Source organism: Homo sapiens, chromosome 13 (genome assembly GCF_000001405.40).
Source record: "Homo sapiens chromosome 13, GRCh38.p14 Primary Assembly".
NCBI classification, from domain to species: Eukaryota; Metazoa; Chordata; class Mammalia; order Primates; family Hominidae; genus Homo; species Homo sapiens.
Genome location: NC_000013.11, coordinates 108,440,594 through 108,460,977, shown reverse-complemented (window position 1 = coordinate 108,460,977; position 20,384 = coordinate 108,440,594).

The following is a 20,384-nucleotide window of genomic DNA, read 5'->3' as shown; positions in this document are numbered from 1 at the left end:
AAACTCAAACTTGGCTAGTGTCACTTCCACTTAGTATCATAATCAAATGTGTTAATTCACAGTGCAAAGGACCCCGGGAGATCTCGAATATATGGTGCCATGTGTGGGCTTCCCCGTGGCTCCCTCCTTCCTGACAAATGCCTTCCTGATGCATTGAGGAATCCCCCAGTCCTGAGTGAGGTGGGTACTGCAGGTGCCACTGCTTTTTAGCCAGGGGCATTTAGGACAGATGGCAGTTAGTCTAGCACCCACTGCCTTCCTGCTCGCCACATTGGCACAACCTGGTTACTTCAGAGTTTCCTTCCTTACTGTGTCTTCAGTCCTTTTTTCATTGTCAGAGAAAAGAGTCTGGGTGCGGCCTGTGATAGGCATAACGCTCAAAAGAAATACTTCAAACCACTATTAATTTAAAACCGAGAAATAAGCTAAACTACTAGTCATGAAGCTGTCAGAATACATCTAAAAGGCAGACACTGCACAAAATAAATTGAGAGACAGAGGAAAAGCATTGCATGAGATTTCCAACTTTCTTTGGGAAGAAGAGTAAGGTAGCACAAGTGTTCGGTAAATGTCATAATGCTCCTGAGATAGTTTAAGCAGATAAATATCCCAAATTAGCACATTTTAAAGTTTTTGTAAGTACGTGCCTTTGGCTGCAATGTACTGGTTACGGACATGCTCTGTGGCTCCGCAGTTATGGTACCAAAGGTCAGTGTACTCTGCTGAAGTGGCTTAAATCACCTGTGCCTCAGTTTGCTTATCTGTAAAATGGGCAAAATAATAGCAACTTAATATTTTGTAAATTTGTTAAGAGAGTCAAATGAATTAATGAATGTAAAGCCCTCAGAGCATGCCTGTGAAGGTTAAATATGGAAACTGGTATTATGTTATGATTATTGCAGGATTCTTAGACATTACAAAATGATCCTTTAACCTCCATAAATTCATGCTAAATTCTACTGCTGTTTATCCATTACAGAAAACATTGTGATTGTCAATGAGATAGTTTCACTCTTGTTAGCTCTTTCTTTTTGAAATACACATTAAGTGAAAACAACTCACTTAGTCTCCTCACAGTGAGTCTTGGCTGCTGTAATGTCTAGCGGGAGAAGAGGTAACATGACTGAGTAGTTACAGGTTTGGGAACGTTCTGATGCAAGAGAATGGAAAGCAGCAATGAGTTGGGAAATCCTAAAAGCAAGTGCTAAGAACAGGTCCTAAGGATAGCTCAGCTCATGTGCTCTTTGACCATCTAGTCAGCTCTCAAGGTCAATGGTGGCTTCCTAGACCATTAAATAATGTTAATGGTAATAATAACTGTAGCAGGAGCAGTGTTGCCATGTAACTGGCATAGTTCTAACTATACCAACAAATGTACTCCACACTTAATCAAAATATTAGGTTGGTGCAATAGTATTGGCAGTTTTTGCCATTGAAAGTAATAGTAGCAGGCACTATTGCTAATTCTCATATTATAGTTGAAACTTACATAGAAATTGCTCAAGGTCACACAGCTTCCAGCTGGAGGAATGTGACATGAAGTTCACCTTAAACGATACCACAAACTCACTCTCAGTAAGTACTTGGAATTGAGAGACACAGCAGGAATTTTAATCAAAATCCTAGAGTCACTGATGGAGAAACAAATCTCATGACACAGTGCTTCTGTGCACACAGTGCTTAGCCTTCTAACGAAAGTAAAATTTGAAGGTATGTTTAAGTCATATTCAGAAGCAACAATTTCACTGTCATGCCTTGGTACTTGTTTCATAAAAAGAAAAGAATCAGAGTTTAGAATAGACTATGTTTCAAAGTAAAAAATAATGTAATTGCACACATCTACTTCCTTCGTCATTATCACTTCTAAAATATATCATAGGAAGTAATATTACATTCAGTAGTATAAGAGAAGCTGTCCATTTTGGATCATAAACAATCCCCCAGCACTTAATTTTAAACCCCACTTAAAGAAAAATGCAATGTCTTTTGTCTGAGATTGTCATGAAAAAAATGAAATAAGTTTATTACTGTCCAATCGCATACTTCAAAACCAGTTTTTTCTTGTTATTGAAAATAATCCAGTTATACATGTAATTATCTGAACAGACTTTAAATATTGCTCACTGCATAACCCAATTATTCATTCATGTCTTCATTCATTGAACAGATACATAATCAGTACCTATGAGGTAGAGAAGCTGCTTTTATGAAGGAACATCTTGGGAGGGGGAGAGAGAGCAAGCAAGTGAGCAGGAGAGTGTAAGAGAGCAAGAGGAAGGATGGAAGGAAGGGAGGGAGGGAGGGAGGAAGGAAGGGAGGGAAAGAAAGAGCGAGGGAGGGAGCATGGGTGTGAGAGGGCGCGAGAGTGGGAAGGGGGAAAGAGAGGGAAGGGGTGAGAGAGGGAGGGGAGAGAGGGAAGGGGGAGAGAGGGAAGCGGGGAGAGAGGGAGGGAGGGAGGAAGAAAGAAAGCAATGAAAGGAAAGAAGGAAGGGAGAAAGAGAGCAATAAAGGAAGGAAGGGAGAGAGAAAGAGTGAGAAAGAGAAAGAGTAGGGTGATGAAAGAAAGAAACTGAACATTATCAACACAGACCTGCTTTGGATAGGTTGGTTGGGGAAGGCCAGCTCTATTTGCAATTGGATTATGAAATATATCTTACATTTCTAATGAGAAGGATAAATTTCATTTCTATGGTCTAGTTTTGATTTACAGAAATAGTTTTCAAACATCAGTAATTCCCAGATAGTCTCCAAAACAGGATCAAAACACGCTTTAAAATAGGTCTTTGTTTTGCCTTTTTCTGCCCAGAATCCTTCATTAAAAGATATCTAAAAGAAACCCCATCCACCCACTTAAATCCTAAAGAAGCACTGACTTACTCTGTGTTGGTGATGTGTTGTGCATAGTATTCATGAGAACAGCTTTGATTCAACATTAAGTACTTTTCTGGTTTCTTGTATTTAAATAAAAGATTTAACAACCCTAACCTGGGCCCGTAGTTATAACCTTACCTGTCAATAATTTGGGTCCCTGCATTAGTTGGTTTGCAATGCTATAAATCCCAGAGGATGGGTAATTTGTAAAGAGAAGAGGTTTATTGGGCTTACACTTCTGCAAACTGTACAAGAGACATGGTGCTTGCATCTGCTTCTGGTGAGGGCCTCAGGAAGCTTCCAATCATGGTGAAAGGTGAAGGGAGGTGATATGGTTTGGCTGTGCCTCCACCCAAATCTCATCTTGAGTTCCCACTTGTTGTGGGAGGAACCCAGTGGGAGGTAATTGAATCATGGGGGCAGGTCTTTCCTGTGCTGTTCTCATGAGAGTAAGTCTCATGAGATCTGATGGTTATTATAAGGGGGAGTTTTCCTGCACAAGCTCTCTTTCCTGCTGCCATCCATGTAAGACATGACTTGCTCCTATTTGCCTTCCACCATGATTGTGAGGCTTCCCCAGCCACGTGGAACTGTAAGTTCAATTAAACCTCTTTTCTTTGCAAATTGCCCAGTCTTGGGTATCTTTTTATCAGCAGTATGAAAATGGACTAATACAGAGGGCATAGCCCATAGTGAGAAGGAGCAAGAGAGAAGGAAGGAGGCGTCAGTCTCTTTTAAACCACCAGATCTCTCTTGAACTAACAGAGTGAGAACTCACTCATTATTGCAAGAACAGCAACAAGTCACCCCCATGATCCACCCCCATGATCTAAACACCTCCCATTAAGACCCCACCTTCAATACTGGGGATCACAATTCAACATGAGATTTGAAGGGGACAAATATCCAAGCCATATGAATGTCTGAATACTTTCTATGGACATATTAGAGAAGCTTGTCCAGCTAATGATAAAGGAGGATAGCAGCTGCATTTCTCCTGCTTCTAAGGAAGTACATCTGCTTTCTTATAAACATGAGTCCAGAAATGTTCTATTTATTTGGCATACTTTCTGTTAACAATTAAATGTGTGTGTGAGGAATAATTTTGGAAGTTAAAATATTTGATCACTGCTTGAGATCCAGAAAATTTTAAAAATTTATATTCTGGAACAAAAGTAGCACCAGGCTGCTTTTCAGATACTTTTATATGGTGAGATGTATGCCCAGGCTACTTCCTAAATTGGGATTCTTTATCTCCCATGTAGTATATAAATGTTTATCATTTCTTTCTCTATTATTATAAAGGCAATGCATGCATAATATGGAGAATTTGAAGGAAAAAAGATTAAAAATATAAGTTATCTGTATCTCTACCACCCAGAAATCATCATTATAAACATTTTGGCATGTATTTTGCAAATGATTCTCTCACAAAATTAAAGACATATTGCTCCTACTAGATATGTTTTTTTATACTACAAAATATAATCATAAGAATTTTCCTGTGTCTTTAAATATTCTCCAAGAAAATCACTTTTAATGGTTTAATATTTTTAGAGTAAAAAAATGGATGTAGAATATTCCATCACATAAATGTACCAAAACTCACATTTAACCACTGCTCTATTATTTAACATTGTTGCTGTTTTCAAGTTTTGTAAATAGAACTGGGATTGACGTCATTGCACATAAAGCCTTTTGTGTATCACTAATGATCTCCTTAGGATAAACTAGAAGTTTGATTATTGAGTTAAAACACATGAAAATTTTAAACGCATTTTATATGTCTAGCCAACATTTTTTATAAACAAAGTTTTTCTCAAGTCACGCTCCCACTGGCATAGACTAAAAATATTTACCATTATGTCTTTCATACGAACTGGTTTTACTGTGATGACATTTGGAAGCTGTATAGTCTTTATAGTAGGAGAGGAAAATACATATATTTGGCTATATGGCAGTAATTTAAGATGTGGGTAAGACAGTACTCAGGTCAAATACATGAAACTAAATATTTATGTCACTAAAAAAAGAATGAATTAAATTAAACAAACGTATATCCTGGGAATTTAGTGAAAGCATGTCAAAATAAAAAAAAGGAGAAGAAAAGAAGTAATGATATAAAGCCAAAATAAATAAGTCAAAATTCGAAGTTAAAATGGGGCATAAGGCATATCAGAGAAGTAAAGTTAAAAATTGATTCTCTGACAACCCTGATAGATTGCCTCCTGTCTACCCCAGTGGTGTCACCATCATGTTCTAAAGCCTTGTTTCCTGGTGGGCACGGTGGCTGGTGCCTGTAATTCCTGAACTTTGGGAGGCCAAGGCAGGGGGATCACTTGAAGTCAGGAGTTCAAGACCAGCCTGGCCAACATAGTGAAACCCCCATCTCTATTAAAAATACAAGAATTAGATGGGTGTTGTGGCAGGTGCCCATAATCCCAGCTACTCCCATGGCGGAAGCATGACAATCGCTTGAACCCAGGAGGCAGAGGCTGTAGTGGGCTGAGACCATGCCATTGCACCCCCAGTCTGGGGGACAGAGTGAGACTCCATTTCATAAATAAATAAATAAATAAATAAATAAATAAATAAATAAATAATTCTTGTCTCCACTGCAGAAAGAATATGAAAGCTACATTTTCCAAGATACTCTCCTAAATATGATTTCAGATTTTAGAGCCTACCAGTAAGAGGGTCTCACTCTAGATTTGAAAGGAAGGAGAGAGGTTGGGAGCATGTAGGAGATGGACAGGGTATGGAGGGGGGCAATTTTTTTCTATTGTAAATTGGCAGCCATACCAGAGCAAAGTAAGGTCTGAATAAGCCTCAAGATAGCATAAAAAAGGAAACACATCAAATTTTGATTCTTTTGCAAAACAAAATAGAACCCAACACACATTAAAAAAATAACAGCCTACACAAAAACAGATTCATTACAGGAATGCAATTATAGTTAAAGATTAGGTAAACTATAAATTTAAATAAAACAAAAATATTATCATTTCATTTCATGAAGAAATAACATTTGAAAAATCTCAATACACTTCCTGAAAACAGAAAAAAAAACAGTTGTATAAAATAGGAACAGTTAAATATTTTACTTGATTAAAAAAATGGTAAAATCAAGCCACGTATCATACTTGGAGGAGAAATGCTCAGAGTGGTTCTGTGTAGCCCAGATCAAGGTAGGAAGGCTCACTGCTAGCATCAGCACTTAGAAGTCTTTTCAGAAGGACTTGCCAGAGCAAGCAGACAAGAAAAAAAGAAAGAAAGAAAGAAATTGTAAAATGGGAAATGACATGGAAAAATTATCATTTGTAGGTGAAATAATTCTGTACCTAAATCCAACAAAATCAAATAAAAAATACAAATACACCAAATACAATAAAAACCATTAAATACAAATCAGAAAGGGATTGGTTCTACTAATACAGCCACATAGAAGCAATTCTTACTCTTTTTATCTTTAATTAAAAGAAAATACCTGATGTATAATATCCCCAAAAAGGGAAGTTACAATATCTTGATAGTATGTCAAAGAGATATCTGTACCCCCATGTTTATTGCAGTGCTATTCACAATAACCAAGATGTGGAATCCACGTTCAGTGTTCATTGTAAGAATAGATAATGAATATGTGGTATATATCTACAGTAGAATACTAGTCAACCATAGAAAAGGAGATCCTGTCATTTATTGCCAACATGGATGAACACGAACTTGGAGGATGTTATGTTAAGTGAAATAAGTGCTACCAGAGGGTGGTATGGTTTGAAGAAGAAGTAGTTGGGGTTGATGTTGGTCAAAGAATATGTAAGTACAGTTAGAGAAGAAGGATAAGTTCAAGAGATCTATTGTACAACATGGTGAGTAGTTTATGACAATAGATTGTATCCATGAAAAATGCTGGGAGTAGGTATTAAGTGTTCTTGTTACAAAAAATAACTATGTGAGGTAATGCATTTGTTAGACATAACCATTTGAAGTATACATACCTCAAAACATTATGCTGTACATGATAAATATGTATATTTTTACTTTATTATTGATACCTAATAGTTTACATATATTTGGTTACATGTGATACCTTGATACATGTGTACAATGTGTAATGAGCAAATCAGGTTAATTGGGATATTCTTCATCTCAAACTTTTATCTTTATGTTAGAAGCATTCAAACTTTTTTCTCCTAGCTATTTTGAAACATGCCATAAATTATTGTTAACTATAGCAGTAGTTATAGTTAGATAACTATTCATCCAACTGAACTACCTAACACTAAATCTTAACCCTTCTAACAGTATTATTTTACTCATTAACCAACCTCTCTTCACCCCCTGCCCCACTTTCCTCTTTCCTCACCTCTGGTAACCACTAAACTACTCTCTACCACCATGAGATCCACCTTTTCAGCTCCCATATTTGAGTGAGAAGGTGCCATACTTGTCTTTCTGTGCCTGGCTTATTTCACTTAACATAATGACCATCAGTTCTATCCACACTGCTGCAAATGACAGGATTTCCTTCTTTTTTATGGCTGAATAATTTTCCATTGTGTATATACACCACTTTTGTTTATCCTTTCATCTGTTGATAAACACATACAACTTTACACATCTATTTAATAAATAAATATGGAAAAAATTGATAAATTTAACTATACTTACATAGAGTAAAAGATGAAAAGGACAAAAACAAATACTTGCAGCTAATATGAGAGAAAATGGCCTTTTTTTTTTTTCAAGATGAGATCTCACTCTCACTGAGGCTGGAGTGCAGTGGTGTGATCTCAGATCACTGCAACCTCTGCCTCCCAGGCTCAAGCGATCCTCTTATCTCAGCCTCCCAAGTAGCTGGGACTACAGGCACACACCACCACATCCAGCTAATTTTTTTTTTTTTTCGTAGAGACAGAGTTTCACCATGTTGCCCAGGTTGTTCTTGAACTCCTGGGCTCGAGAAATCCACCTGCCTTGGCCTTCCAAAGTGCAGGATTACAGGGGTGAGCCCTGGGCCAGGCCTGGGACTCTTCTTAAAATAAAATTTAAAAAAAAGTATTTACAAATTGACTGTGTGCATGTATGCATTTTTATATATACACAACACAATATAAACTAGCAAAGTATATGAACATATAACACATAGAAAATTAAAATTCTGGTTAATATGTAGAAAAAAATGCCTCTGATATGAACGACCCCTCCTTTCTTACTTTCATCTAATTCTTAGTCATCCCGCACAATCGGGCCCTCACTTCACCTCTTCCAGAAACTCTGCCACTCTCCTCCTCACTCCCCCTCCCACAGTGTGAGCTGTATCACCCTCCTAGGAGCTCTCGGGGCTCCAGGGCAGCCGCTGCTTCATGCCACTATAACAGCCCGTTAAGTCAACTTTCCCCCTCCATCTACTCACACTTCCTGAGAACTCAGTGTGAATCTTACTTGCTTTGCGTTCTAAGTCCTACTTGCAGCTCCTGGCAAATAGTAAGCACAATATAAATGTTAACTAAATGAATGAAGAAATGGTGTTTGGATTCATTTACTATGGTCAATATTCAGTATTAATGAAGACATTATGCAATCATAATGTTTACCCTTAAATAACCATAATCTTGTAAGGTCTTGTATTTAATATAGTTGTGTAATTATATGTGAATTACATAATGTGAATTATAATAATGTCATATAATACATTTCTCTGACATTTCAGTAGGTTATTGAACTATAAATGCACCTTGATTTTTCCAGCTTCCTTAAATCTGCTTAGTATTCTTCTGCCTGGAATCCTTTCACTATTCAAAATCCCCCTTTTCCCTGCAAGAAACCTCAAAGCCCCACCTCCTCTCAGATGACCACCCTCATTTCTGTCTAGTTCCATAGGTTTTTGTTTCCTTACATTATTTCGTTATATGCTTTTCCACATAGGTGACAGCAACCTCTATTGGTTTATAAGTTCCTTTAAAAGCAAAGTGTATATGGCTTTCATTTTTATATCCCTCCAGAATCTGGTAGAATTTTTTGCATGGAGGAGATACTTAATCTTTTCAAAATTAAAGATTGGGACTTCCAACCTCAGAACTAACAAGTTAATAGAAGATTCTTAATTACAACGGTGATTTTCAGTGCAATGTTTTGGGAATTATGCTAAGCTTTTTACATGCATTAACTTATTTAATTCTCAAAATAACCATCTGCATGAGTATAATTAATATCACCATGTTTTAGACTGCCATATGAGAATCAGAAAGAAAAGTAACTTGTCAAAATATATACAACTGATAGTGTCATCTTAACTACTATGCTATCTACTTATGGAAGTTATATATTGGCAATAGATTTGTCCCTAATTTCATTAATCTGCTTTCTTTTTTAAAAATGAGAAAGAAAAAATTCCATACTTTCCTTTAGGTAATTCAGTTCAGTCAGTTCAGTTTATTTACCCAATTATTAAAAGATATTTATAAGAATCATGGGTTAATTTGATTGAATTTACATACAGAGAGAGAAAAAATGAATCTCTGAATAAACTAAATTTTTTTAAGCAGTAGAAAATATGCAATGTGGCTGTGATGGATAATTACACTACTGAATAGTTGCAACTGAGGTGCTTATTCTCCTTCAAGGGTGGATGTGGTTTTGATTCTAGGAGAGGGCAGGCACTACCTTTGCTCTCCCTTCACAGATAATTAGTCAGCTTAGCCTCTTTCCAGATGACAAAAGACCCATCTGCGATTCCACGGCCCTGTCACTCTCTATCTCATGTGAGCTAATTGTGGTATCTGCAGACCGACAATAAAGGGCTCCCTCCTTTCCAGGAGACCCATTTAGTGTGGTGTTGTCATGGCAGTGGTCTTTTCTTGGTTGCAGAGAAGCGGCTGCACTGATTCTCCTAGGGTGGCAAGGATCTGTTTCTTACCAGTGCCCTGCATGATTCAAAGATAATGTGGGATAAGTCAATGATGGGGACCCTCGGAAGCTGTGGCAGGGTCCTTTCTGTCCACTGCTCCATCCCACTTGCCCAGTAAAAGCCCTTGCTCCGCCGCTTGTGATATGCAGCTGAGTTCAATCATGTGGCAAAGGGTTAAGTCCGCACAAAACAGTAGATTATCAGAACTTCCAGGAAGACACTTCAGCTTAAACGATACATCCTAGGCTTTGCCGAATAAAGAATGAACACTTTAGACCCTGTATCAGTCCGTTCTCGCATTGCTATAAACAACTACTTGAGACTGGGTAATTTATAAAGAAAAGAGGTTTAATTGACTCACAGTTCTGCAGGCTGTACAGGAAGCATGGCTGGGAGGCCTCAGGAACTTAGAATCATGGCAGAAGGTAAAAGGGAAGCAAACACGTCTTACCACGGTGGAGCAGGAGAGAGAGAGTGCGCAAAAGGGGAATTGCCACACACTTTTAAACAATCAGATCTCGTGAGAACTCTATCACAAGAATAACAAGGGGGAAACCCACCCCCATGATCCAATCACCTCCCACCAGGTCCCTCCCCCAACACTGAGGATTACAATTCAGCATGAGATTTGGGTGGGGACACAGAGCCAAACCATTTCGGGTTTTAGACCTGTATCTGTTTTGTTGGGAAATTTTGAAGTCTTATTCGTTGATAGTGTAAACGAAAATGCCTCTTCATTCTGGGAGCTGATGAGAGAAACAAGACAGTGGCCTGCTGTCTCCCAGGATGGTGGGGTACCCTGATTGCTTCAATGGCCCAATTTAATACCCTTTGCCATATAACTTTGTAGGGTCCTCCCACTCTCACTCTTGGCTTGGCCACATGTCCTGGCTGATGGTGTTTAGCAAAGTGGTGCAAACAGAGGCTTGAAAAGCTCAGTGTGTGGAATCTTTCTCACTTCTGCCATCGCCATGGCAGACTACACACCTAGGCTAGGTCACTGGAGAATAAGAGACACATGGAGTCAATCCAAATAAGGCCACCGTGTATCAGCCATAGATGTGAGCGAGACAAGCTGAGATCAGAAGTACCACCAGCTGAAACCAGTCTAAACCACCAATCTACAGGCTCATGAGCTAAATGCATACTAATTAAAGTCAGTAAGTTTCAGAGTCAATTATCACTCAGCAATTATTATAGCATAGATAACTGATATAACTAAGAACGCCTTTAGGGCAAACATTTTCTCTTATCAATCTATCTCAAGTTCAGTATAATTTCTCAATACATTATTTTGCATGGAAATTGTGAATCTCCTTGTACATCTCACTAGACTGGAAACTCTTTAAAGACACAGACTTCATCCAAGTCACCACTGTAGCCTAAGTGGCTGGCATTTATTATCTGTTTAACAGATTTTTGGTAAACAAATGAATTTATGAGTGAATGAGAAAAGGGATATTTTTTACAAACTGGAAATAGGAAGAAAAATGTCTGCTCTCAAGGTGCAGACATAAGTTTTAGTTCTCCTTAAGTTGTAGGTCAAGAAGCAGGAAATTGCCTGTCCCTTTCTTAGCCTTTGAAACACAGGGAACCCTTCCCTATTGTGCTCCAAATGTCCCAGAGCTACTTAGAAGTCAGTGCCGGAGGCTGTCAACAATCCAACCTCAAGTCCCAGGCTACTCTTCTATTTAACAGTAACCCACTCCCCCAACTGCCCAGTCCCATGACTCTCTATTCCAACTGTCTCTATTGGTTTCTGCTTCTCTATATCCCCAGATCTGTTTTTCTCCAAATGTGCCTTTTTATTTTCACAATTGATTTGGACATTGTCTCTGATGGATTGACTTTTGTTCTGCTTTCCTTTTACCCTGCTTTTACTAGTCCTGTCATCAATATAAGAAACAACCCCATCAGTATTAGTGATGTTTCTAAACCTTCTGCTGAAGCCTGAACAGTCTAAAAGATTATTATCAAATGGAAGCTGATAGGAGAGGGAATGTACAGCAGAAACAAGAACACATCCAGGACAGGTACATGGCTATAGGAAGGAAGAGTACACTAAGACTCAAGTCCAAAGGCAGAGGGCAGGCAGAGACAGGAACATGACCAGGTGGACAAGCCTTGGCACATGATATCAGCCACAGGTGAGGGTGTGCCTGTCAGAGGATTCTGAATGTCAGCCTCTGAGGAGATCCAGGGGCAATGGAGGCAGAGGCTTCACAATGATCTATCAGTAAAGTATGGTTTTCCTTTGACAAGGGGATAGTGAATTAAGATCCTAAAAATTTGGATTGACTTTTCCTAGATCAATTTTTATTCATATAGCTAATGAGAAACTTTAAAGGGAGTGTTCCGTAAATGGATTACACATGTGCCTTAAAATAGTGATACCTTTAGCCCTCTGGGTAGCCTGATGGAGGTGTTTAGCAGAAGTCAACAAGTGAATTACATCTAGGTTGAAAAAACTTGGCATGGGCCCCTCTCTTTGGTGAAACAGAATACCAAGAACTGAGTGCAGCTAGGGAGGAACTCTTACCTCCACATTCCACTCCATCTATTTCAGCAGTGGATCCTAGAAAACACTGCTGCCTTTCGCAGATAAACAACAGTGGGACTGCCAGACATGTTTGTATTCCTGGCTTTCAAGATGTGAAACAGGCAGCCCAATGAGTTTTGAAGACAAGAGGGAGATGAGGAGGGGGCTTTGGTCTTTAAATCAGACACTGCTGCTGATTTACAGGTAATGAGCCCATTTAGTAGTATCCAAGCTAGGTTGTGCTTTCTATAAACAAATTCTTCATTATTTCAAAGTACTTTATTTGAAAGTTTTCTTGAATTTTAAATACATTTCCATTTCTACAATGTAATTTTAACACTTGGACATTTTTAAATGGCTATAATACATTATTTTGAAAAGTCTGCCATTGACTTGCACGAACAAAGTTTCTTGTTGAAAGTGACAAGAATGTCAGGTGATCAAAATTAAACTGCTTTCACCAGAAATTGAAACGTGGACATTTTCAGCAAAAATCTTGATATAAAATTTAAGTGCACAGGACCAAGTTTATCATCAAAAGTTTTGAAAGGTTATTTGAAAGGTTAACATAAATTCATTACTTATCATTTCTAATATTTGCATCTTAATATTTGTCATAAGCACTGTCAAGAACTGTAAAGACTCTGAGATTTTATTACATTTGCAAGCAAACAAGTTAGCCTGCCCATTTTATGGATAGTGGCAGAAGGCATGAGATTCATGGGTCAAAGACAAAAGAAAGTTTTTTACTCACAGCAGTAGCAGTATCCAGAGTAATGTTATTATTTTTGTATCATTTCCCAAGTCCCACAGGGTGGCATAAACAGAGCCAGCAACATCCATACATGCACTGGGTTGTACTGTGGAAGAGCAACCCTGAGCTTAGAGAATTCATATATTTTACACTGGACAGTAAGCACGTTGGCCTTTTGCTACAGGGGATGACAGTATCTTCCACAAATATCAATATTTATGTTTATAAGACATGCAATATTGTGGAAGACTCATGGATAATTTTATTTCAACAATTATACAATGTAAAGAAAATACAATGATTTATTTTCACAATGCTCCATATGACCACACTGGCAAAATTTCTCAAATTTTCCCCAGAGTGCAGCAAAGTGCTCACCTAGTGTGCTGAGCATCTTTACTCACTGGCAGCCGTATGCTTTTCCTAGGGTTGCCATAACAAAATACCATAAACCAGGTGGCTTGAAACAACAAAAATTTATTCTCTCACAGTTCTAGGCCAGAAGTCTGAAATCAGGATGTTTTTAGGTTCATGCATTCTTTGAAGGCTCCGGGGGAGGACCCATCCTTGCCTCCTCCTGGCTTCTGTGGATTAATGGCAATCTTTGGCTTTCCTGGTGGGTAGATATACCACTCCAATCTCTACCTCTCCCTTTGTGTCTCTGGGTTTCTGCATCTTGATCTTCCCGAATCCAGCACGACATCATCTTAAATTGGTTACATCTGCAAAGATCCTATTTCTAAATAAGGTCACATGCACATGTGCTTGGTCTTAGGACTTAAATATATATTCTTGGAGGACACAATTCAACCCACAAAAGACACGTAGATTTAAACCCCAGGTTAAAAATTGTATGTAACTTGGCAAGGCAAGAAGGTAGAGTCAAAGCCCTTTCCTTTCAACAATCTTAATATCTAGAGACCTTTTGAAAAGATAATTAGTGCACTACACACTATATCTCTTACTTTACCTACAGGAATTGGTCATAAAACCAGCCAGAAACTGGAAAGCAATTTTTGTTTGAAAAGTTAAACCAAGAAAAACATCACCAATAACCACTCATTTGTTTTCTTTGTCTCTGTCTCAGAAAAAAAAAAAAAAATCTCCTAAATGTATACCTGTGTTTACAGTTGCAGGATTACTTAAATTTCTGAGTTAACATCAAAGGAGGTATCATATCAATAGTTGAAAATCTGGCATATTAGGAATCCAATCACTCCAGAAGACTGACAATAGGACTCTTGTGTTAAAACACCTCTTCCCTCAGGGGCCATTCTCAACAGCATTCAACCTGGTGGGGAGTCCTGCTCTCCTTTGCCATAGCTATCAGTATTGGTTAAGCACCTGCCAATCTTGCTCCATTTTTCATTCCAAACAGTTGCCCTTCCCCAATATCCACCTTTGTTATCCTCCCCACCTCTAGCCAACTTTACATTTTGAAGCTGAATCTGTTCCCTTAATCTGAAGTGTTGGATTTTGTCATCTACAGATGGATTTCTCACCAATTCATCACAGCTAAGTGGTTTGCTCCCTGCTGTGTCTTACCTGTATGAACGACCATCCAAGGGTAAAGTCAGAGATGGCGGTCCTTGCCCAGGTATTGCTGCCTGGGTTCCACTGTGTCCTCTATCCAGAGCCCTATTCTTTGTCCATAACAGTTGCCCCAGCTTGTAACTACTTTTGCTGTGTGGTTTGTATTTTTCTTTAGCCCTGTCCTCTTTCCAGCCAACTCAACACACTTAAGTTTTCACTAAGAGCTTAATTCTCTGAGAAGGATACTAGTTTCCTCAAGAGACATGCTTTATTATTGGAGAAAATGCTCATAATATAGTCTAGCTAGTAGATAAATCCTTCTCAGGCCCCAAGTTCCCCTCCTTGCCTCAGCAACAAAGTAGGACTTGTATCATTTCTATGAATTTGTGTCCACCAGGAAATTTGTACTGAACTTGTCAAATATCGAAGTCAGCAACTGCATAGACAACTTTTGGAGAGTTTATTTATTTATTTGAGCAGGGTCTTACTCTGTCACCCAGGCTGGAGTGCAGTGGTACAATCTCAGCTCACTGCAATCTCTACTTCCTGGATTCAAGCAATTCTCCCACCTCAGCCTCCCAAGCAGCTGGGACTATGGGCATGCACCACCATACCCGGCTAATTTTTGTATTTTTTGGTAGACATGGGGTTTTACCATGTTGGCCAGGTTGGTCTCAAACTCCTGACTTCAAGTGATCCACCTGTCTTAGCCTCCCAAAGTGCTGGGATTACAGACAGGAGCCACCACACCCAGCCCAATTTTTTGGAGAGTTTTAAAAATTATTTTCTGCTTAGAAAAAAAACACTCTTATTTAAAAAATACACAACAACAAAATAAATTCCACATATTCATCATCCAATTTGAGCATTAATTCATCCACTTCCCCACATTGAAGCAAATGCCAGACACCATGTCATTTAATTTCTCATAACCTCGCCATCTTCTTAATGTTCCAAATACAATTACTTCTTATAAATCCATGTGAGAATGATGAGTAGTGTTAAGGAGCAAAATGGAAGATGTGAGGTAAATCATGTTACATGTGCATTTTGTTTTTTCTGACACGGAGTCTTGCTCTACTGCTCAGGCTGGAGTGCAGCGGCACGATCTCGGCTCACCGCAACCTCCGCCTCCTGGGTTCAAGCGATTCTCCTGTCTCAGCCTCCTGAGTAGCTGGGATTACAGGCTCGTGTCACCACGCCAGCTAATTTTTGTATTTTTAGTAAAGATGGGGTTTCACCATGTTGGTCAGGCTGGTCTCGAATTCCTGACTTTGTGATCCGCCCACCTCGGCCTCCCAAAGTGCTGGGATCACAGACAATGAGCCACCACGACTGGCCTGTGTACATTTTCTAGGTGAAAAAAGTGCACACAGGTGATACGTCTTTACCTTTACTGTCCTTAGAGATAACTGAAGTACTGCAGCATGTGTTTATCTTAAATCTTATTCATTCATTATAATGAACAAAGCAGTTAATGAGGTTGTATGCTTGGCCCTACCTGACTTGATTAACTATTTTGAAAGATTTACAAGGTGAAACTGTTTAACATAAAGTCAAGACCATAAAATAAAGGAAAACACACTCAAAAACCTTTATTTGTGAAAAGCAACGTGCTGAGTTTGCTGGAGACCTACACAATGGGTCAGAGTCCCAGACTCCCGTCCCAGCCCTGCTCATCAACAATGAGGCCCTCGACCCCATGACTTCATCTCTATGGCAATATAGATTAGGTCGCTAGGGCTGCTACAGCAAAGTACCACAAACCACGGGGCTTCAACAACAGAAATTTCTTGTCTCACAGTTCTGGAGGCTGGAATCTGAGATGCAGATGCCGGCAGGGTGTGTTTCTCTGAGGCCTCTTCCTTTGGCTTGTGGATGGCCACTTTCTTGGTGGGTCCTCACCTGGTCTTTCTCTGAGTACATTTGTGTCCTAATCTCCTCTTATTAAAAGGAAAGCAGTCATATTGGATTAGAACCCACTATATGACCTCATTTAAACTTCATTATCTTTCTAAAGATGCTATGTATATCCTATTTCCAAATACAGTACAGTCACATTCTGTGGTACTGGGGATTAGGGTTTTAATATATGAATTGGGGGAGCCCAATTTAGCTCATAACAATGTCCTAGACACATTAATTTATTTGAGAGTTAAATTAGATAGTGTTTGTGAAAGCTGTTGATAAATTATTATGCACTATATGGTATAACTTTTTTGTTAATAATAATGTCTCTATCAATTCATCAGAATTTTATTATGTCAATAAAATAAATTCAGTGCTGAGCTAGCTGGTCTTGGAATCCTTGTATTTTAGAAATCCATCATCTTAAAAAGGAAGCAAAATATATATTAAATAAATGGCATATAAACTAGCCAGATTTGAAACAAGTACAATATTTAGTAATTCAGTCAAAAGAAGGGAGCCCCAACTAAGGTGGGCAAGATGACATCAGAACAGTGCATTAAAGGAGAATTCAAATTTTATACCAGGGGAACAAAGAAGTGAGAACATTATATCACAAACAGTAGTCCCCCTTATCTGTGGCTTCCCTTGCTGGGGTGTCAGTAACCCATGGCTCAGTACAATAAGATATTTAGAAAGAGAGAGAGAGAGAGACCACAGTCAAGTAACTTTTGCCACTGTATACTGTTAGAGTTGTTCTACTTTATTATTAGCTGTTGTCATTCATCTCTTCCTGTCCCTAATTTATAAATTAAACATAATTTTAAGCATGTATGCATAGGAAAAATAGAGTATACATAGGATTCAGTCCTATCTGAAGTTTCAGGCATCTGCTGGCAGTCCTGAAACACATCCCCTGTGGAGAAGGGGGATGACCGCATTGTCTTCCTGGTATAGAATGAAGCCAGGCTAGACCCTAGATTCTGCTAAAAAGTGGTAGAAAATAAGGTTAAACAGGTAAGACAGGACCAGATTTGAAAAGACCTTAAAATCCTAGCAGATGAGTTTTGCTGTAATGAAGAAAATGATATCTAAGCCATATATGTAATTATCTCTACATCAATTTGTTTATTCTTGATTTATATATTTTCTAATAATAAAAATTAACCATCCTAAATAAGGAACATGAAATAAAATTATTGGTTGTGGTATTTATATCTAGCTATGATGTTATTCTCTTTAGTTTCTATGTATAATCATATTGGGCCAGTGTATTAGTGAGCTATTGATATGTAACAAATTAGCCCTGACACTGAGCAGTTTAAAACAACAAACATTTATTATCTCACATAGTATCTGAGAGTTGGGAATCGCTCAGGAGGCTGCAGTCATCTCATGGCTCATTCATCTCATGGGCTGGAGGATCTGCTTGTAAACTCCTAACATGGTGTGAGGAGGCCCTTGTCCCTCTCCTGCTTTGGCTGGAGATCTCTGTTCTTGCCATGGGAGCCTCACCATAGTCTGCCAGCGTGTGCAGCAAGATAGCCACTGGCTTCCACCACAGGAAGTGAGGTGGGAGAGAGAGAGAGTACACTCTGCCATGTACCACCTAGTCTGTGGGTCACACTCACCTGTATTTTATTCTAATATTAGGAAGAAGTCAATAAATTCAGCCCATACTCAACAGGAGGATATGGACAACAGAAGAGTGTTCTGCAGACCAACTGGAGCCCATCTTGGAAGCTGACTGACACAGTGCTGTAGTTTGAATGTTTGTTTCTCCTAAAACTCATGCTGAAATTGTACTGCCATGTGGTGGTGTTAAGAGGTGAGACCTTTTGGAGGAAATTCAGCCATGAGGGCTTCATCCTTACAAGTAGGAATAATGCCATTATAAGAGGGCAAGTTCAGTCATTTCACCTTCTGTTATGTGAGGATGCAGCAAGAAGGTCCTCACCAGATGCCATCACCTTGATCTTCCCAGCCTCTAGAACTGTGAGAAATAAATTTCTGTTTTTTATAAATTAACCTGTCTCAAGTATTCTATTATAGCAGCAACAAGGGACTAAGACATATAGCCAACCATAAAGATATGTTTCTTCTTTAAAAATGTTAGCTTTTGTCAATATTAAACTGAAATTTGTCCTTTATATTATCAAGGTGAACATAATTCATCTGTCTCTTTTCAGTATAAAAATAGCTCAAGGTTAAATTAACTTGGGAGTTTTGTATGTTGTTTAAATAGCTTCTTTTGTGGAATTAATTTTGAGTTGAGTGTTTGAAATATCTTGAAGTTTGTCAAGTAAAATGAGCTACTTTTTTAATTCTCTAAGTGAAATTTTAGGACCAGAATAAATATGAGGAGTAGTTCATATAAGTATGAAAATTAAAAGTATCCGCAGGCAAGAACCCAGTTTTAGCATTCTACTATAGTAGGGGAAAGTGAAGGAAAGATTGGAAAAATACTATTCATTTTTTCACTTTGACAGAATAAGGTATAAAACATTGTTTAAAGCCTATTTGACATATAAATTCTCTAAGCAAATCCAAGCGTAAACACACCCTTAGAAGGCAGGTGAAATTTCTTATTTGTAGTACTGAAGACAGGAGCAATTAAGCTGGGTGATAAATGCTTAGGGTTATACTTCCTAGAATCTGAGTTTAAGGGGACAGATGGAGAATTCATGATTCAATGAAATGACATGGAAAGTGAAGAGTCTGGTTCAATTTTCACTTTTAACTTTCTGGATGTGAGGTCTGAATTAGATGTCAGGCACAAACAGTACCTTTCAATATAAATAGACATTTTTCATGAGAAACATTATAAATTGCATTTATCAAAATATACAACTATCAGTTCCCTGTCACTAATGTTCCTGAAAAGGATGAACTGTTGAAAGCTCTGGAACAAAGGATTTGTGGGCTTAATTCTTTGGGGACTTACCAGCACTGGTGATTTTTTACTGTCATACTCCTTGGGAAGGTGCATGTCTTCATACTTAGGGAAAGAAGCCGCAGATTCATTTTGATAATGACAATCTACACTGAGAAAAGTGATTATGTTTGTGAGTGTGCACACAGAGAAAGGATCAACCAAGGTAATTTCAAGGTTGCATAGGGATTAAGGATATAACTTACCTGTGAAGCCAAATTTTATCTAAATGAATAAAACTAGTTGAAGTATCTGTTGATTCAGGAAATGCAGACCCTCTTTTCTCCTGAGTTAATGACAGTTATGGGGTCAGGTAAGAAAGTGCTCACCACCACAAAATCACTGAATGTAAGAGGGTCTTACCCTCTGTCAACATCTTCATCTTCTAGCTGAAGAAACTGAAGCGTATGGGCAGAGCTGGCTTCATGGGGGAGAGAGCTACTCTGTTGTACAGGGCACACTTAGAAGGACTCCATGCTTAACTTAATGCTTTGCTATCACTGCCGCAAAATTCTTGGTAAGTTTTGAACAGGGGCCCTTCATTTCATTTTGCACTGGGCCCTGCAAATTTTGCAGCCAATTCTGCGTAGAGGGCTCCCACAAAATGTAATGATCAATAAAGAGGGGCCTGGGTGAATGTTCTTTCTGTGGTTGTTTTAGCAGAGGGGTTAAGAGCTCCACTGGCTGTACCACCTTCTGCCTGTGTGGTTTGCGTATGTTTCTTAGCTTCTCTGGGCCTCTGCCTCATCATCTCTAAAATGGGGTGGTGATAGAGCCTGCTTCACTGGATTTCGATACACTGAAGTGTGCAGAGTGCTGATCCCAGAGCCGGCACACGATAACCACGGCATAAGTGTTAGCTACTGTTATTGTTGTTGTTGCTGTTATTGTTGAACTGTTAGGGAAAATTAATCCAGTCTAAGCTGCCAACAACCCT